This window comes from Homo sapiens, chromosome 9, assembly GCF_000001405.40.
Source record: "Homo sapiens chromosome 9, GRCh38.p14 Primary Assembly".
Taxonomy (NCBI): Eukaryota; Metazoa; Chordata; class Mammalia; order Primates; family Hominidae; genus Homo; species Homo sapiens.
Genome location: NC_000009.12, coordinates 64,450,687 through 64,471,199, shown reverse-complemented (window position 1 = coordinate 64,471,199; position 20,513 = coordinate 64,450,687). Strand labels below are relative to the sequence as shown.

At 49.0% G+C, this 20,513-nt stretch overlaps 1 long non-coding RNA gene and 2 pseudogenes across 1 annotated transcript in view; all 3 read right to left on the bottom strand.

Moving 5' to 3' along the window:
* Nucleotides 1-1,957: 1,957 nt before the first annotated feature.
* The window catches only part of ANKRD20A4-ANKRD20A20P (ANKRD20A4-ANKRD20A20P readthrough), a 99,849-nt gene continuing 81,293 nt past the window's right edge, over nt 1,958-20,513 (bottom strand). The window contains exon 25 of the long non-coding RNA NR_146419.1: nt 1,958-2,243. This is a non-coding gene — a long non-coding RNA (ANKRD20A4-ANKRD20A20P readthrough). The remainder of the gene's footprint in view (nt 2,244-20,513) is intronic.
* Nucleotides 5,442-5,724, bottom strand: CYP4F25P (cytochrome P450 family 4 subfamily F member 25, pseudogene; annotated as a pseudogene).
* Nucleotides 6,249-6,571, bottom strand: CYP4F45P (cytochrome P450 family 4 subfamily F member 45, pseudogene; annotated as a pseudogene).

Genomic DNA, 20,513 nt, shown 5'->3' with positions numbered 1-20,513 from the left:
TCACTCAAAAATCAGAACACAGTGGCCTCTACTGCAGCATCAGGGAACAAAAACTAAGCTTGTCAGCTCTCAAGAAACATACTTATGTGTGTGTGTGTGTGTGTGTGTGTGTGTGTATATATATATATATATGACATAAATTTATTCAGGGACTTTGAGGTATCTCATGCTAAACAGATAAAATGAATTAAAACTAGTGCAAAGTTATGGCAACAGTACTCCCCATTATTTATGCAGGGCATTGAAAATTGGCACACATCACAGATCCTTAAGTCAATCTCTGAATCAGGAGGAGAAAAGAGAACAGAGAGAGCTCACTGTATGTGCCAGTCACTGGACTGAGTACTGCGCCTACAGGATCCCACTTGATGCTTGCAATAACCCTGCAAGATAAAGGTAAAAACTCACACACACACACACACACAAACTCACACACACACTCTCACGCATACATACACACACATACATACACACACATAAACTCACACATACACACGCATCCTCAAGCACACACTAGAAACTACAGAACAAAAAAGCATTGACAACTAATAGAAGTATACTGCTGGCCAAAGTGGCTCATGCCTATAATCTTGGCACTTTAGGCCAGGAATTCAAGACAAGCCTGGGCAACATAGCAAGACACCATCTACACAAAACATTTTCTTAAATAAACATCATTTTTAAAAAGAGGTATAATGCCTACAGGCTCAGGGAAGCAATACCCCTATGGCTGTATGGTAAGCAGCAGGCAAGGCTATTTTTCAGACCAAAGTGGTAGTGACTCCAGGGTTCCTTTGCACACTTAGCCAGGAGATTGGCTAGCTCAGCACTGCCTGGGTTCACTTTACCCTTCTACAGTTCTAAAGCTCTGGCAGGTGGGACCTAAGCATCACAGAAAGTGCTATTATGCAGGACTCTCTTGACTGCAAGTGACTGAAACCTAACTGGATCCAGCGGAACATTGAATTATTTGGCTTTACTTACTAAAAATGTACATGAGTAGATGGGCTTCTGTCTCAGTGGGATCAGGGGTCAACTAATATCAACCAAGGCTCATTCTGTCCCTTCATTTCCTATGTCAGCTCTGCTTTTCAGGCAAGCTGTTTTGAGAGAGCAGCAAAAATGGCTCCATAAAGTTCACATCACTTACTTCCTTACAAATAGATATGCCAATAAAAAGAAAGCACCTCATTCCCAGCAGTTTCATCAAAAGTTCAGGGATGACTTCCATGAGCCCAGCTTGGATCACATGACCACTCCTGAATCAATTACCCTGCTGATCTGATTGCCCAGGGTGGGTCAGCCTTCCCAAATCACATGGACTAGTATTGAAAGACAGGTCCTCCCATGAAAAAAAAAAAAAAAAAAAAAAAGGAAGGGTAGTGGCAGAGGAATATGAGTGGGGGGGGCCTCATCTCTATATAAAAAGTATGAGCGTATTTGTGCTCTTTTGTACATTCATTTGTATAGTCACTGGGAAAAAAATGAGAAAAACCCAAACACGGCTTTCTATATGCCTCTGTGCTTTGTTTTCAACACTGAGCTGTGAGAAATCTAGTTACTAAAATGAAACTTTGAAAAAATATAACAATTTGGGACAATGGGGACACTTAGCTGATGCAGCACAGGTGAACAGTTCTTCTTTTGTGCCCAAGAGGACACAATTCCCAGGAGGCTGCATGTGGTCTCCTAGGACAAGCCTGTGGGCACCCACTGGCTGCAGTTCCACCTTTCCTTCCCTGGACTCTCAGGAAGACATGAGTTCTGGATTCAGCTGAACTGAGCTCAAGTTCAGGTTCTGTGACTCACTGGCTCTGTAATTCTGGGTAAGTCTCTTGCTCTCCTTGAGTCTCATATCCTCCTTGGTAAAATGGAGAGGTAGAGCTATTGTTAGATTTTGAAGGCAAGGCAAGGGTTAAAGAAAGACACAGAAAGACAGTTGACGGCTTCAACAGCAACACCTTTATTACTAGCAAAACCCTGCAGAGGAGGAAACCAGCTTACTGCCAGCACCAACTGCCTCTCACAGGCTGGGGTGATCATGGGACTGGGAAGGAGGGGTGTGGGCGGTAGAGCTTGCTGCCCGGCAGGATATGGCAAGGATGTTCCTGCAGTCAGGCTGTTGGGCCTTTGCCCGGGAGGGTGCGATAAGGATGTTTCTACAGTCAGGTGATCAGGAAGGATGCTTCTCACGGCCCGAGTTCCCAAGGAATGTTTCATTCTGACCAGGGTGTGCAAAACGGCTGCAGGTTTACAAAATGGTACAGGTTAGACTAACAGCAACATCTCCCAGGTAGACAGTTCTATAAAGTAAACTTCCCTTGAGCACCTACACTGTACCAGACATGGTGCTAGGACCCAGGCCACAGGAGGAACAGGACAGATGAGGCCCCTGCCATCCTGGTGCTCATGCCTGATGAAGGAAGCTAACAGGTCGTAAGACCAGGTCACGTGGTGGTGGTAATGAAAGACATTACCAGCCACTTCGAGGTCCCTGCCAGAACCTGACTGCCACATTCCCCAAAGGGACCAGATTCCTCGGCACACTAGCTGAGGTTTCTATAGGCACAGAGAAAACACTGTCCCAACTGTTGCAATGGAGCTGGGAAAAATAATGTTTGTTCTCAATGCTTAGACTTACCAATTGCTTCATTTTATCACATGAAGGCTGTGTGGCACTTTGAAGTAGAATTAGTAATTTACATAATTACAAATCATGTTTTTTTCTTTTTTTTTAGATGGAGTCTTGCTCTCTCGCCCAGGCTGGAGTGCAGTCGCGCCATCTCGGCTCACTGCAAGTTCCACCTCCCGGGTTCATGCCAGTCTCCTGCCTCAGCCTCCCAAGTAGCTGGGACTATAGGCGCCAACCATCATGCCCAGCTAATTTTTTGTGTTTTTATTAGAGACGGGGTTTCACCAAGTTAGCCAGGATGGTCTGGATCTCCTGACCTCGTGATCTGCCCGCCTCGGCCTCCCAAAGTGCTGGGATTACAGGCATAAGCCACTGCGCCTGGCTACAAATTATGTTCTTAAAAGAAGCTGCTCAGTGCCATGCCTAACACAAGATGGAACTCCACGATGAGATATGTGTGAAGACAGGGTGCCATGGTTACAAACAAGGACTCCAGGTGCAGACTGTTTGGTTCAAACCTGGACCAGCGGTATGAATTTTTGCAACTCTCTGTATTGCTCTTTGCCTCAGTTCTTTCATATAACAACCAGAAGTAAAAACAAGGTTATTGTGAAAATTAAATGAATTAAAGTAAGTGGAGTGCCTACAACACCCCCAGGCACACGGTCAGCACTGAGCATGTTTTTCATTACTACTCTTAATGAGGTAAGAATGAGAAAACAGGCGCCAGCCATGAGCCTGGGGTTTATCTGGCAAAGGCATCAGAGACCCCACTTTTAACATCCTCCATTCATTCATTTGACCCTGATAAGGAAGGAGTCCCATGGGAGAGGAGCAAGCCTCCACCTTGGGGCCAGACATCTCATGATCAAAGTTGAACTCTACCACTGTTCAGCTGGGTGACTTTGGGCAAGTGACTTTCCCTCTCTGATCCTCATGTTCCTTTTTGATAAAAACAGCAAAATGTCAGGCCTATGGGGATTCAAGGAGCCAAAAGAAAAATGTGTGTCTTAGTCTGAATTTCCTGGAAGTAGATCCCGAGGCAAAGATTCAAATACAAAAATTTTGTTTGGAGATAACGCTAGGATATTAATTCGACTGCCAGTTCTTCCTTAGGGTGTTAATCCCAGGAAACATCAGTGGAGGAGTGGGGAACTGAGACAGGAAAGGAATGCAGCAGTTAAAGGGACCTTCATCAAGAAAGTTTCCACTGTGGCAGCCAGGACTCAGCCCTGCCAGGTACCTCTGAGAGACAGCACAGAACATGTGCTTCAGAGTCATCATACCCAGAGCAAGGGACCAGGGGTATTTATCCACCAATACCCACCAGTCACTCCTCAGGGATCCTCCCAAGGGCATGATTCCTCCAGAATGTCCTGCCTGCGCTGCAAGGGTCAGACCTGGGGTTGAGGGCAGGACCCCTGACAGCGCTTCCAGCAATGAGCAGAACCACAGCCTGATGTGTACAGTTTCAGTCACCCAGTAACTCCAACACACACACACACACACACACACACACACATTCACACACCACACTCCAACACCAACAAAGTATATACGTACATACACATACATGCATACATGACTGTTACCCACTTAGATCCTAGTGACTCCATGGGATAGACGATAAGGTGGGAATCAGAGGAAAGAGTAAAATTAAGGCGAGTGAAAGTCTTAAGAACAAAATGCAAATTTAGGCTGAAAATGAAGGGGGAGGAGGTGTGGTCTCGACACCAAATGCCTGCTGGGTGGCACATGCTCTACACACACTGTCACTAATTCTCCAAGCAGCCTCGTGGAGTAAAAGAAATTCCTCTCAATGTACAGATGACAGAAACATAGTTCAGAAAAGAAAACTGATTTTACTAATGTCTCAGCAAGTTGGTGGGTGACATGGAGTCCCAGATCTTTCTGTCCACAAAGCCTACAAATTCTCCCTTGTTAGGCAGGCTGGGTACCAGGCCCTGCTTCTGGGCTCTGCTTCTTTTCCTGCTAGGCTAAAACAGCAGAACTGACAGAGACATCATCCCCCTTCTCCACCTGGAGCAGAGCTAATGAGAGGGGCTGGAGAACAGCCATGAGGCCCAGCACCCACCATTCAATGTCTTCAGAATTGCCGTCCCTCAGAACTCTTGCACCACGAGGTGGCAGCACTCCCAGTGTCTGGGTGTCTTCTGAGGGGTACCAGGATCCAGTAGAGGCCACTGGCTGTGCTGTCATATCCTAAGTGGCAGCAAGGCAGGCTTGGGTCTCTTGGCTGCTTCAGCACCAGAGGTTGGACAGTGCCCATGCATTGAGTCCCTCAGGAGAATGGGACGGAAAGGAAGGGCAGAATGGAGTGATGTAGGGTCCACCCACCATGTCCCTGGATGGAGAGACCCCTGCTCCCACAGTAGTCCACACCAGGACCACGATTGGCACTCATGAAGATGCCAGCCTCCATGTATATGTCCTTGTCTGACAACTCCTCCTTATTTTCATCCTGGAGACAAGAACCCTGAACACAGTAGCTCTGAGGGCACCTGAGTGTAACCTGAGACAGTCCCTGAAGACCTTTCATCCAAGCAGGATCCCTCCCTTGCCATCTCCAGACCTGCCCCACAAACTCCCTCCCTGGTCTCCTGGCTCTTGTTCACTCCTTCCAGGCAGCCTTCCACAGTCATCTCTAAAACATATATGACTGTCCCTCCTTTATCCAGCACCTTCCATGGCTCCCCAGAGCCCTCCAGGTCAAGTTTAAGTTCTTTGATCAGACACTAGATCTCAAGCTGCATTCTACCTCCTGAATTAAGATCCCGGAGAAGCCCACCTTGCTCAGCACAAACGCATCACTGAAGTCGAAAATCTTGAACGTGGCCTTGGCATTGAGGAAGTCATCAACACCCTGGCTAGTGAGGGTGCAGTGCCGCTCCAGGATGATGGTGTCTAAAGTTGTGCACCAGGTCGCAGGCCCTGCAGAAGCATCTCCCCTCAGGAGTGAGGTAGTACAGGAAGTCTGTGCACAGGCAGATCTGCTGGTGCTGTTACACTATGAGGGCACTGAGCTCCAAGATGGTGGCAATATATTCACTGGGATTCCTGCACGGTGAGGTTGGAGAGAGGAAGCATCTCCATAACACATATGAAACCCTGGAAGCACTTCCCAGCCAGAAATTCAGGACCACGTTATATGCAGATATGGGTGCCCTCTGAGCACACTTGTCTCTCTGTCTCCCACTCTGAGCTGCCTCCTGGCCCCACATGCCCCAGCCTGGCCCAGGGCTTAGCCCAGTGGGTGTTCAGTCCATGGTGTTGACTGCTCCCTGGGCCAGGAGAGCCCTTGGTGGCTCTGTGACTCCTCCTGTGGAACCCCTACCTCTGCCTTGGGACCTCCCAATTCCCATGGAAGCCCCCACAGCTCTGGATTGCCCCACCTGCCCTGTGATCCTCCAGCCCCATAGGCCTTACTCGATGCCTTAGCCCTCCCAGAACATGACACGTTTCTCTGAATGTGGCTGATGTCCAGGGCCATCTGTAGATGTTTGCTGGGGACCTCTTGCTGTTTTCCTTTATGGTCTGTAGGCCAGGGCCAAGAGGAGAAACCAGCCCAATCTCAGAATGGACAAAAGGCTCACTGCCCTAACAGCAACCACCAAACAGTCAGCAGTGCTTCTGGATGGAAAAGAGGTTTCATTCTGCAGAAAGCTCCTTGTTTGGCTTCTTTCTGAAGCCAGGAAGGGGTACCAAACCCAGCTTACCTGCGGTGCCTACGTTAGCATCTGTGCCTAGGATGCATGATGGGCTCCCACTGCAGGGTTGACATTCCCTCCAGCTGGAGACCTGGGCTCCTGACACCACCTGGCGTGTTTGTCCTGCTCTGGATGACGGTGGAAAGGCTGTATCTGGTATTTTCCTAGGTCCTTGGTTTTCACCTTCTAGACATCCAGCAGGAGTGACCATACCCAGCCCCACACCTGAAATGGGACTCCCTTGTAGAGCACCTGAGACCTCTACAGACAGAAGAGTGCTCTGGTGAGACAGGCCACAGAGGTCCCCGGGGGGGGGTGGGATCAGGGGCTGGAGGATTCTGGAGGTTTCCAGCCTTGGGCTCTGTGGTTCCTCAAAGAGTTTAGGTTTACCTAGGACTAGGCCTCCCCTCCCATGCTTCAAAGAGTGGGTGAGTGCTATGCATCACGAACTCTGATCTGGACCTATTTTTTCATTTAGGTCACCAAGAGACAACCCCTAACCCCCAAGCTAGGGATGGTCCAAGCTCTGGCATGAGATTCTCTTCCAGCAATGTGATGCTTGCAGGGACAGGGAGAAAAGCCGGTGACCAGGCCTGCTGTCCCCCAGGTAAGGACAGTGTGCTACCCACCCTCTGAGAGGCAGGTGGTGCCAGCTCACTGCACTGGGTGCCTGTACCCCTGGCTCTGCAGACACCGGTCATGGAGGTCCTCCCCTCTCCACATTACCTTCTTGCTGCTCCCAGATTTCTTCTGGTCATTAAGCACTTTGAGCCATTTTTCTGTGCAGCCGATCTGATATTTTTGCTATCAGATGAAACATGACAAAGTAAGCCGAGCCACCAGGATTCCTGGAGGGAACCTTGGATGCTGCGTCTTGGGATCCAGAGCCCTGATGGGACTGAACCAGAAGGAGCCAGGGAAGGACAAACACTGGGGCTCAGGCCCTATGACCCAACGGCCATTGGTGGCCTGTCCTCATGGCCCCAAGACACCCTGTCCTCAGGCCACAGACACCATGGGCTTTGGTCAGGTCCCAGCCTCCCAGTAGTGCCCTGGCACTGGTGGGTGCTGACCTCCAAACCACAATAGCAGTTCTGGGTTATGGGTTTGGTAAAACCACCTCAGGGAGAATTCTGGGGTTGGGTTTGGCAGGAACCACGGGGCCTCCCAGGAATGATGTGTCACTCCTACTTGCCACAAAATGTGCACAGAGGCTATCCCACTGACCAGCCCATCCTGCTGGACAGGATGGAGGAAATCAGGGAAAAAGCAGGGTGGACATCTGGGGTGCAGGGAGAGGCAGGTGCATGCTGGGAGGTCAGACCCTGCGAGGGCTGTGGGGGCATCAGGTGGGGTGGGCTCCAGGTGCACCCTCAATGCACTGGGTGGGTCTCAGGCCAGGCTCCCTGGACCCTGGTTGGCTGATGTGGTCACTCCCTGGGGGACTGCTGTCAAGCCCTGGCCACCCACCCTGGGCAGCACCATTCCATCCCAAGACCGGATTTTCTGAGTCCTGAGACAGGACAGTGCTGTCCAGGCCTGACAGACTGGGAGGACCTGCCAAGTCCTCCATCCCTAGACCAGCCTCCCACACAGCAGGGACAGTCTCTTCCATTTACCTTCAGGGCACTGACTGATCCATGTCACTCTAAGGCAACCAAGGCAGAGCTGAGGACCTGTGCCAGGCTGGGAGCCAGTCCCCTCCCTAAATGGGCCTGAGGAAAGCACCATCCCTGTCCCAATGCGCCCCAAGTTTTAGCCCAGGAGACACAAAGGGAAGGGAGGACGGAGCCTCTCTGCTGGCTGACACTTGAAAAGCGGGACCTGGGAGTAGAGGGAGCGCAGGGCTGGCAGGGATGCTCCAGGCCCATGGAGAGCTTGGGCTGCACCAAGGGGCTGCCCCTCCTGGGCTGGAGGCTGTGCCCTCTGCAGGATCTGAGAAAGTCCAGTCCTGAGATGGGACAGTGCTGCCAAGGGTGGGTGGCTAGGCCTGACAGCAGTCCCCCAGGGAGTGACCACATCACCCGACCAGGGTCCAGAGAGCCTGGACCGAGACCTGCCCAGTGCACACTGAGAGTGCACCTGGAGCCCACCCCACCTGACGCCCCCACAGCCCTCACAGGGTCCGACCTCCCAGCATGCACCTGCCTCTCCCTGCACCCCTACTGCCCACCCTGCCTGTTCCCTGGCTTCCTCCATCCTGTGCAGCCCATAGACTGTGACCATCTCTCTACCCACTCTGGCCCTTCCTTTACCTTTGTTCTTTCAGAATCTCTGAGCAAGATCTCCCAGGTCCATCCAAACACCTGCTTTGTCCACTTTTGACTGGGCCACTGGACACCACTGGGCCATCCCAGCTGTCCATAGGGCCCCTGATAACATGCATTTCCCCTGACACCTCCCAGCAGTGCTCAGCAGCCCCACTGACCAGGTCCCTGCTGACCAGATCCCGCACATCAGGTCCTCCCTGACCACACTCTCACTGATTAGGCCCCCATCACCAGGCCCCACTAACTAGATTCCCGCTGCCAGGCCCACAGTGTCCAGGACCCCACTGACAAGGATTTCACTGACAAGGCCTCACTGACCAGGGCCTCACTGACAAGACCTCCCTGACCACATTCCACCAATCATGACCCCATTGCCTGGCCCCACAGATGAAGCCCCACTGACCAGGTCTCCAGGGAACAGGCTGCCAGTGACCAGGTCCCTACTAACCAGGCCTGCGGTGACCAGATGCCCCGACCAGGAACCTAGTGACTAGGCACCACTGAACAGGCATGTACCGCTCAGACCCCCGTTGACCAGGTCACCCCATAGACCAGTGCTACAAAAGCCACCACTGATCAAGTCCTCTCTGACCAGGCCCCCACTGATTAGGTTCCACTGACCTGACCAGGCTGCCATGACCAGGGTCCCACTGACAACGGCCTCACTGATGAGGACATGCCCTGCTGACTAGGTGCCATGTGACCAGGCCTCCACTGAATAGCACCCCTTGACCGGGTCACCAGTGACCCAGCCCATTCTGACAAGGCTACCACTAAGCCACAGCTGACCAGGTCTCCACTCACCAAGCCCTGCAGCCCAGGTTTGCACTGACCAGACACCAAACATTTGTCTGCCACTAGGTCCCCACTCACCAAGACCTGCACTACTCGATCCCTCTAATGAGACCCTCTCTAAGCAGACCCTGGCTGACCATTCCCCCAGTAAATAGGCCTCACTGACCAAGTCCCAACTGACTAGTTCACTGACCAGGCCCACACTGACCAGGCCCTTCCTAATCATACCAGAAGGCCAAGTGGCAATGAGATGTTTCATATGGCAGGGGTAGGAGCAAGACAGAGAGAGGAAAGAGGTACCACACCCTGTTAGACAACCAGATCACATGAGGTCTCACTATCAGGAGATCAGCATCAAGAAGATCCTGCACCCACACCACCACCCACTGTTTCCAGGCAGAAGCCTCCTGCAGAGGCCAAGCCTCTTGAGAAACTTCCACTATGGCAGTGCAGAAGGAAAATATGGGCTTGGAGCCCCCAAAAAGGAGGCCACCATCCTCCAGATCCCGGATTCATAGGCCCACCAACAGCTCACACCCTCAGTATGGAAAAGCTACAGGCACTCAACACCAGCCCAGCCCATGAGAGCAGCCATGGGGCTAAAGCCTGCAAAGCCACAGGTGCACTGCCCTAGTAGAGGTTTTCCATGAGCCTCTGCCTCTGCAGAAGGCTACTCCCCCTTCCTACTACCCCCTATCCTCCTACCACCCTACTGACAACCTACTCCTCCCCACCCTACCCCTCCTTTTCCTACCACCCCGAACCCCCTCCCATTCAAGATTAAATCGCCTACCACCAGGCCCCAAAATTAAGGATTACAATTCCATATGAGTTTTATATGGACACACAGTCAATCCATATTATTTGACCCAGATACCCCAGAACCTCATGTCCTTCTCACACAGCAAAACACAGTCATGCATGTTCAAAAGTTTCCAAAATTCTTAACTCATTCCAAATATAAAAAATTCAAAGTCTCATCTGAGACAAGGCTACAGTCCCTTCGGCCTATCAGTCCCTGAGTTCAAAAGGCATTTCTTTTCTTTCAAGATACAATGATAGTACAAGCATTAAGTAAGGTTTCTCAATCCAAAGGGAAGAAATTCCCCAGAAAAATGACAAAAATGTCAGTCCAAACCCCAGCAGGACAATATTCACTCAATCTTTAAGCTCCATAATCATCAAGAGAACTCACTATCACGCAGACAGTATTAAGGAGATAGTGTTTCACCAGTTGTGAAGAATCCGTCCCCCCTCATTTTTCACCCCCACCCACAAAATAATCTCTCCTATTCTCCCCACTCCCCCACCTCCAACCCCCACTCTTCTCCATGATTAAATCATCTCCCACCAGGCCCCACCTTTAACATTCCCCATTACAATTTCACGAGAGTATTGGTAGTGACACAGGGCCAAATCATATTATTCTCACCCAGGTCCCCCCACATCTCATATCGTTGTCACACTGCAAAATACAATGATGCCTTCTCTACAGTCCCCCAAAGTCTTAACTCATTCCAGCATTTACTGAAATGTCCAAAGCCCAGTCTCATCTGAGACAACGCTGCCATCCCTTCTGCTCGAGCCTCTGAAATACAAAGCAAGTTAACTACTTCCAAGGTACAATGATTGTAGAGACATTGGGTAAGCATTCCCAGCCAAAAGGAAGAAATTTGTCAGAGGGAAGCACAAAACACAGATGGGACTTGCAGACCCCATGCAAGTCAAAAACCCAGCAGGAAAGTCATTCCATCCTACAGCTCCAAATCATCTTTCCTGAAAGGATCTACATCCCACATCTAGAGCACAAGAGTGGATGGCGGGGCTCCCAAGGCCTTGGGCAGCTCAGCTTCTGTGGCTGTGCAGGGTCTTTCCCCACAGCTGCCCTCGTGGGCTGGGCTGGTGGTCAGTGCCTGTGGCTTTCCCACACTGAGGGTGCAAGCAGTTGGTGGGTCTATGAATCTGGGGTCTGGAAAATGGTTCCTCCCTGTATGGGGGCATCAACCCTGTATGTTCCTTCTGCACTGCCCTAGTAAAGGTTTCCCATGAGGCTCTGCCTCTTGGAAAAGCTTCTGCCCAGCTGGACACTGAGGTTTTTCCTTACATACTCTTGAGTCTAGACAAAGGCTCCCAAGCCTGTGCACCTGCTGGCTTAACACTATGTGGAAGCCACCAAGGCTTGCAGCTTGCACCCTCTGAAGCAGTGACCCAAGCTGTACCTGTGCATCTTTCAGCCATGGCTGGAGCTGGAGCTGGAGCTGCAGGGATGCAGGCGGCACTGTCCTGAGGATGGACACAGCAGCGCGATCATGGGACTGACCCAGGAAACCATTCTTTGGTCCTAGAACTCAGGGCCTTTGACAGCAAGCTCTGCTGCAAAGGTCTCTGAAATGCCTTCAAGGCCTTTTTAACATTGTCTTAGCTATTAGCACTGGGCTCCATTTTATGCACATTTCTGAAGCCTTCTTGAATTTTCCCACTAAAAATCAGCTTTTCTTTTTGACCTCTTGGGCAGGCTGCAAATCAAACTTCAAAGCTCTGCTTCTCATTTAAATATAAGTTTCAACTTGAGGTCATTTATTTGGTCACACAGAACACCACAGGCTGTTCAATACAGACAAGATACCTCTTGAGCTTTGCTGCCTAGAAGTTCATTTCACCAGATATACCCTAAATCATCACCCTCAAGTTCAAAGTTTCACAGGTCACCAGGGCAGGGGCACCATCCAGCCAAGTTCTTTGCTAAGGCAAAAGAAAAGTTACCTTGGCTTCTGCTCTCAGTAAGTTGTTCATTTTCATCTGAGACCTTCTAAGCCTGGCCTTCACTATCCATCCTTCAGTCACCCTTTTAATTATAACTATTTAACACGTCTCTACAATAGTCAAAACTTTCATTCATCTTTCTGTCTTCTTCCAAGCCCTCCAAACTGTGCAGCCTGTGGTCGTTACCCAGCTTCTGAACCTGCTTCTGAACTTGCTTCTACACTTTCAGCTATCGTTGTGACAGCCTGGCAGTGTGGTAAAAGAAAAAAAGTCCATTTTCAGGGGGAAAATTCAAGAAGGCTTCAGATATTTGCATATAAAAGAAGCCAAATGTTAATAGTAAAAAATCAGGAAAAAAACCTTGAGGGCATTTCATAGCTCCACTCTACAGTACAAATTTTCTGTAGTATTATTTTAAAAAGAGGTTTAATTGGCTCACGGTTCTGCAGGCTGTAAAGGGAACATAGTGGCTTCTGCTTCTGGGAGGACTCAGGAAGTCTCCTACCATACCAGAAGGCCAAGCGACAATGAGATGTTCCATATGGCAGGTGTAGGAGGAAGACAGAGAGAGGAAAGAGGTGCCACACTTGTTATACAACCAGATCTCATGAGAACTCAGTATCAGGAGATCAGCATCAAGAAGATTAACCATTGGTGAAGGATCCACCCACACCACCCCCCACTGTTTCCACGTAGAAGCCTCCTGCAGAGGCAGAGCCTCTTGGAGAACCTCTACCAGGGCAGTGCAGAAGGAAAATGTAGGCTTGGAGCCCACATACAGGAGGCCACCATCCTCCAGACTGCAGATTCATAGACCCACCAACAGCTTGCACTCTCAGAGCAGAAAAGCTACAGGCACTCCACACGAGCCCAGCCCATGACAGCAGCCATGGGGGCTACACCCTGCAAAGCCACAGGTGCCCTGCCCTAGTAGAGACTTTCCATGAGCCTCTGCTTCTGAAGCAGGTTACTCCCCCCTCCTAGTACCCACCACCTTACTAACAACCTACTCCTCACCCTACCCACCCCTTTCCTTCCAACCCCGGTCCCCCTCCCATCCATGATTAAATCACCTCCAGCCAGGTCCCACCTCCAACATTAAGGATTACAATTCACATCAGTTTTGGTAAAGAAACACAGCCAAATCATATTATTCTGACCTGATACCCTGCAGTCTCTTGTCCTTCTCACAGAGCAAAATATATTCATGCCTTTTCAAAATTTTCCAAAAGTCTTAACTCATTCCAACAATAACTCAAATGTAAAAAATTCAACATCTCATCTGAGACAAGTCTACAGTACCTTTTGCCTATGAGTCCCTGAATTTAAAAGGATGTTCTTTCTTTCAAGGTACAATAATGGTACAGGCATTGGGTAAGCTTTTTCAATCCAAAGGGCAGAAATTTCCCAGGAAAATAACACAAATGGGACCACAGGCCCAATGCAAGTCCAAAACCCAGGAGGCCAGTATCCATTTAATTTTACAGTTCTAAAATCATGAAAAGAACTCACCGTCACAAGGACAGCAATAAGGAGATAGTGTTTAATGATTTGTGAAGGATCTGACCCCCCACCCCAATTTTCACCCCTCACCCCCACCATAATTCCCCCATTTTCCCTACACCCCCATCTTCCAACCCCCACTCTGCACCGTGATTAAATCATCTTCCACCAGGCCCCACCTTTAACATTCCAATTACAATCCCACATGAGTTTTGGTAGGGACACAGCGCTGAATTTTATTATTCTTTCCCTCACTCCCCAAATCTCATGTCCTTCTCACATTGCAAAATACAATGATGCCTTCCCTAAAGTCTCATAAAATCTTATATCATTCCAGCATTTATACAAATGTCCAAAGCCTAAAGTCTCATCTGACACAAGGCTACAGTCCCTTAGGCCCATGAGCCTCTGAAATATAAAGCAAGTTAACTACTTCCAAGGTACAATGCTTGTACAGGCATTGGGTAAGCATTCCCAGCCAAAAGGAAGAATTTTGCCAGAAAAAAAACAAAACACAGATAGGACTTACTGGCCCCATGAAACTCCAAACCCAGAAGGCCAGTCATTCAATCCTACAGCTCCAAAATCACCCTTTTTGAAACCCTGTCCCACATCCAGGACACAGGGGTGTGAGGGCTGGGCTCCCAAGGCCTCGGGCAGCTTGGCACCTGTGGCTTTGCAGGGTATATGCCCCAAGGGTGCCCTCATGGGCTGGGCTGGTGATGAGTGCCTGTGACTTTTCCACATTGAGGAAACAAGTTTTGGGGGGGGGTCTATGAATCTGGGGTCTGCATGATGGTGGTCTCCAGTGTGGGAGTTCCAACCCCATATTTTCCTTCTGCACTGCCCTAGTAGAAGTTTCATATAAGGCTCTGCCTTTTTGGGATGTTTTGCCTGGACACCCAGGAATTTCCATACATCTTCCAAAATCTATAGAGAGGTTTCCAAGCCTCTAGTCTCACACTCCGTCCACCAGTGGCTTAACACTATGAGGATGTTACCAAGGCTTCTAGCCTGCATCCTCTGAAGCAGTGACCTGAGCTGTACCTGTGCATCTTTCAGCCATGGCTGGAGCTTGAGCTGCAGGGATGCAGGCAGCAGTGTTCTGAGGCTGCACATAGAGGAGGCTCATGGAACTGGCCAAGGAAACCATGCTTCTCTCCTAGGCCCCAGGGCCTACAATAGCAAGGGCTGCTGCAAAGGTCTCTGAAATGCCTTCAAGGCCTTTTTCCCTATTATCTTGTCTATTAGCACCGGGCTCCTTTTCATGCAAGTTTCTGAAGCCTTCCTCAATTTTCCCCCTGAAAATCAGCTTTTCTTTTTGACCACTTGGCCAGGCTCCAAATTTTCCTAAATTTGAGTTCTGAGAGACGGGACTCATTTAATGTAAGTCCCATCCAGAGGTCATTTCCTCCATCACACATAAGAGCACAGGCTGTTCCATGGGGACAGGACACCTCTTGAGATTTGCTGCCCAGTTCATTCCACCAGATACTCAGTAAGTCATCACCCTCAAGTTCAGTTTCACAGATCTCCAGGGCAGGGTCACCGTGCAGCCACATTCTTTGTTAAGGCAAAACAAAAGTCACTTTGGCTTCTGTTCCCAGTAAGTTCCTCATTTTCATTTGAGACCTTCTAAGTCTGGCTTTCACTCACCATTTTCCTGTGAGCCTTCTGGTCACAAGTATGTAACAATTCTTTACAAAGATCCAAACTTTCCCTCAACTTCTTGTCTGCAAAGCCCTCCAAACTCTCTGAACTCTGTCTGCTACCCCCTTCTGAACCTGCTTCTACATTATCAGCTATCTTTGCTGCAGCCTGACAATGTAGTAAGGGAAGACAAGTCCATTTTCAGGGGGAAAATTCAAGAAGGGTTCAGAGACTTCAATGAAAAGAAGCTGAGTGCTCACTCCCAAGACAATAGGGAAAAGGCCTTGAAGACATTTAATAGACCCACTTTGCAGTACTAATTTTCTCTATGATCATAAAGAAGAGGTTTACTTGGCTCATGATTCTGCAGGCTATAAGGAAGTATAGTGGCTTCTACATCTAAGAGGAATCAGGAAGCCTCCCAGTCATACCAGAATGTCAAGGGGCAATGAGATGATTCATGTGGCAGGAGGAGGAGCAAGACAGGGAGAGGAGAGAGGTCCCACACCCGATTATACAACCAGATCTCATGAGAACTCACTATCACAAGGTCAGCATCACAAAGATGGTGCTTAACCACTGGTGAAGGATTCACCCCCTACCCCCAACTCCCACTATTTCCAGGCAGAAGCCTGAGGCAGAGGCAGAGCCTCTTGGAAAACTCTACTAGGGAAGTGTGGAAGGGAAATATGGGCTTGGAGCACCCACACAGATGGCCACCAACCTCCAGACCCCAGATTCATAGACCCACCAACAGCTCACACCTTGTGTGGAAAAGCTACAGGCACTCAACACCAGCCCAGCCCATGAGAGCTGCGGCAGGGGCTAAACCCTGCAAAGCCACAGGTGCATTGCCCTAGTAGAGGGTTTCCCATGAGCCTCTGCCTCTGCAGCAGGCTGCTCCCCCTTCCTCCCACCCACCACCCTCCCACCACCCTACTGCCAGCCTACTCCTCCCCACCCTAACCAACCCTTTTCCTTCCACTCCAACCCCTTCCAGTCCATGATTAAATCATCTCCCCCAGGCCCCAACTTCAACATTTGGAATTAAAATTCCACATGAATTTTTATAGGGACACACAGCCAAACCATATTATTCTGACCCTGCTATCCCAGAATCTCATGTCCTTATCACAGAGTAAAATACAATCATGCCTTTTCAAAAGTTCCAACAGCCTTAACTCATTCCAAATGTAAAAAGTTCAAAGTCTCACCTGAGACAAGGCTACTGTCCCTTCTGCATATGAGTCCCTGAATTTAAAAGGGATTTCTTTTCTTTCAAGGTACAATGATGGTACAGGCATTGTGTAAGCTTTCCCAATCCAAAGGGAAGAAATTTCCCATAAAAATAACACATATGGGACCACAGGCCTAATGCAAGTCCAAAACCCAGCAGGACAGTATTCACTCAATCTTTAAGCTCCATAATCATCAAGAGAACTCACTATCATGCAGACAGCATTAAGGAGATAGTGATTAACCATTTGTGAAGAATCCACCCCCCTATCCTCATCTTTCACCCCCACCCACAAAATAATCTCCCCCATTCTCCCCAAACCCCTACCTCCAACCCCCACTCTTCTCCATGATTAAGTCACCTTCAACCAGGCCCCAACTTTAACATTCCCCATTACGATTCCACATGAGTATTGGTAGGGACACAGAACCAAATCATATTATTCTGGCCTTTGGTCCCCAAATCTTGTATCCTTGTCACACTGCAAAATACAATGATGACTTCTCTACTGTCCCCCAATGACTTAACTCATTCCAGCATTTACTGAAAAGTCCAAGGACTTACAGACCCCATGAAGTCAAAAACCCAGCAGGCCAGTCATTGAATCCTGCAGCTCCAAATCATCTTTTCTGAATCTACATCTCACATCTAGAGCACAGGCATGTGATGGCTGGGCTCCCAAGGCCTTGGGCAACTCTGCACCTGTGGATTTGCATGATATATCCCCCACAGCTGCCCTCATGGGCTGGGCTGTGTTGAGTGCCTGTGGCTTTTCCACACTAAGGGTGCCAGCTGTTGGTGCATCTATGAATCTAAGGTCTGGAGAATGGTGTCTCCATATTTAGGGACTCCAACCCCATTTTCTCCTTCTGTACTGCCCTGGTAAAGGTGTGCCATGAGGCTCTGCCTCTTGGAAAAGCTTCTGCCTGAACACCCAGGTTTTTCCGTACATACTCTGGAGTCTAGACACAGGCCCCCAAGCCTCTAGTTTTGTGCTCTGTGCAGCTGCTGGCTTAACACTATGTGAAAGACACCAAGGCTTGGAACTTGCACCCCTGAAGCAGGGATGCAAACTCTACCTGTGCATCTTTCAGCCATGACTGGAGTTGGAAATGGAACTGCAGGGATGCAGGCAGCAGTGTCCTGAGGCTGCACATAGAGGGGGCTCATGGAACTGGCCCAGGAAACGATGCTTCTCTCCTAGGCCCCAGGGCCTGTGACAGCAAGGGCTGCTGCAAAGGTCTCTGAAATGCCTTCAAGGTCTTTTCCTTATTGTCTTGGCTATTAGCACCGGGCTCCTTTTCGTGCAAATTCCTGAAGCCTTCTTGAATTTTCCCACTGAAAATCAGCTTTTCTTTCTGACCACTTGGCAAGGCTGCAAGTTTTCCAGACTTTTGAGTTCTGTTTCTCATTTAATATAAGAGTTGTGACTCATTTAATGTAAGACCCATCCAGAGGTCACTTCCTCAGTCACACAAAAGGGCACAGGCTGTTTGATGCAGACAGGACACCTCTTGAGCTTTGCTGCCCAGAAGTTCATTCCACCAGATACTCACTAAGTCATCACCCTCAAGTTCAAAGTTTCACATATCTCCAGGGCAGGGTCAATGTGCAGCCACATTCTTTGCTACAGCAAAACAAAACTAACCTTGGCTCCTATTCCCAGTAAGTTCCTCATCTTCATCTGAGACCTTCTAAGTCTGATCTTTACTGTCTATTTTCCTGTGAGCCTTCTGATCACAAGTATTTAACAATTCTTTACAAAGATCCAAATTTCCCCTCAATTTCTTGTCTTGGAAGCCCTCCAAACTCTCCTGAACTCAATCTGCTACCCTCTTCTGAACCTGTTCCTGCATTATCACCTATCTTTGTCAAAGCCTGGCAATGTGGTATGGAAGACAATTCCATTTTCAGGGGGAAAATTCAAGGAGGATTCAGAGACTTGAATGAAAAGAAGCTGAGTACTGATAGCCAAGACATGGGGGAAAAGGCCTTGAAGACACCTAATAGATCTTCTTTGCATTAAAAATGCTCTCAATGATCAAAAAGAAAAGAAGTTTAATTGTTAATGATTCTGCAGGCTGTAAGGAGGCATACTAGTTTCTGCATCTCAGAGGACTCAGGAAGCCTCCCAATCACACCAGAATGTCAAGGGGAAATGAGATATCTCATATGCCAGGAGCAGGAGCAAGCATGAGAGAGGAAAAAGGTGTCATGCCCTATTATACAACCAGATCTCATGAAAACTCACTATCACCACGTCACCATCATGAAGATGGTGCCTAAACATTGGTGAAGGATCTGACTCACACCCCAACTCCCACTGTTTCCAGGCAGAAGCCTCCTGCAGATGCAGAGACTCTAGGAAAACCACTATTATGGAAGTAAAGAAAGAAAATATGGGCTTGGAGCCCCCACGCAGGTGGCTACCAACCTCCAGACCCCAGATTCACAGACCCACCAACAGCTGGCACCCTCAGTGAGGAAAAGCTACAGGCCCTCAATACCAGTCCAGCGCATGAGAACAGCTGAGGAGCTAAACCCTGAAAACCACAGGTGCACTGCCCTAGTAGAGGGTTTTCCATGAGTCCCTCACTCTGCAGCAGGCTACTCCTCCTTCCTACTACCACCCACCCTCCCACCACTCTACTACCGACCCACTCCTCCCAATCCTACCCATCCCTTTTACCTTCCACCACCACCAACCTCCCGTCCATAATTAAGTCACCCGCTTCAACATTAGGGATTACGATTCCGCATGAGATTCACAGGGACACACAGCCAAACCATATTATTCTGACCCTGATATCCCAGAATCTCATGTCCTTATCACAGAGCAAAATGCAACCATGACTTTTCAAAAATCTCCAAAAGTCTTAACTCATTCCAAATGTAAAAAAATTCAAAGTCTCTCCTGAGACAAGGCTACAGTCTCTTCTGCCTATGAGTCCCTGAATTTAAAATGGAGTTCTTTTCTTTCCAGGTACAATGATGGTATGGGCATTGGGTAAGCTTTCTCAGTCCAAAGGGAAGAAATTTCCCATAAAAATAGCACAAACGGGCCCACAGGCCCAACACAAGTCCAAAACTCAGCGGGACAGTATTCACTCAATCTCACAGCTGCAAATATCATCAAGAGAACTCACTATCATGCAGGCGGCATTAAGGAGATAGTGTTTAAACATTTGTGAAGGATCTGCCCCCCTACCCTTACCTTTTACCCACACCCACAAAATAATCTCCCCTATTCTCCCCACACCCCTACCTCCAACCCCCAACTCTTCTCCATGAATAAATCACCTCCCACCAGGCCCCACGTTTAACATTCACCATTACAATTCCAAATGAGTTTGGTAGGGATGCAGACCCAAATCGTATTATTCTGACCCTGACCCCCCATATCTCATGTTGTTCTCACACTGCAAAATACAATGATGCCTACTCTACAGTTTCCCAATGTCTTAGCTCATTCCAGCATTTACTGAAATGTCCAAAGCCCAAAGTCTCTTCTGAGACAAGACTGCCATCCCTTCTGCCCCTGAGCCTCTGAAATACAAAGCAAGTTAATTACCTCCAAGGTATGACTGTCCAGGCATTGAGTAAGAACCTCCACCCGAAAGGAAGATTTTTTGCCAGAGAGAAGAACAAAACACAAACGGGACTTACAGGTTCCCATGACATTCCAAAACCCAGCAGGCCAGTTATTCAAACCTACAGCTCCAAAATCATCCTTTTTAAGTCCTTGTCCCATATCCAGGGCACAAGGGCGTGAGGGCTGGGCTCCCAAGGCCTTGGGCAGCTCTGCACCTGTGGCTTTGCAGTGTTCAGCCCCCGCAGCTGCCCTCATGGGCTGGGCTAGTGTTGAGCACCTGTAGCTTTTCCACAATGAAGATGCAAGATGTTAGTGAGTCTATGAATCTGACGTTTCAGAATGG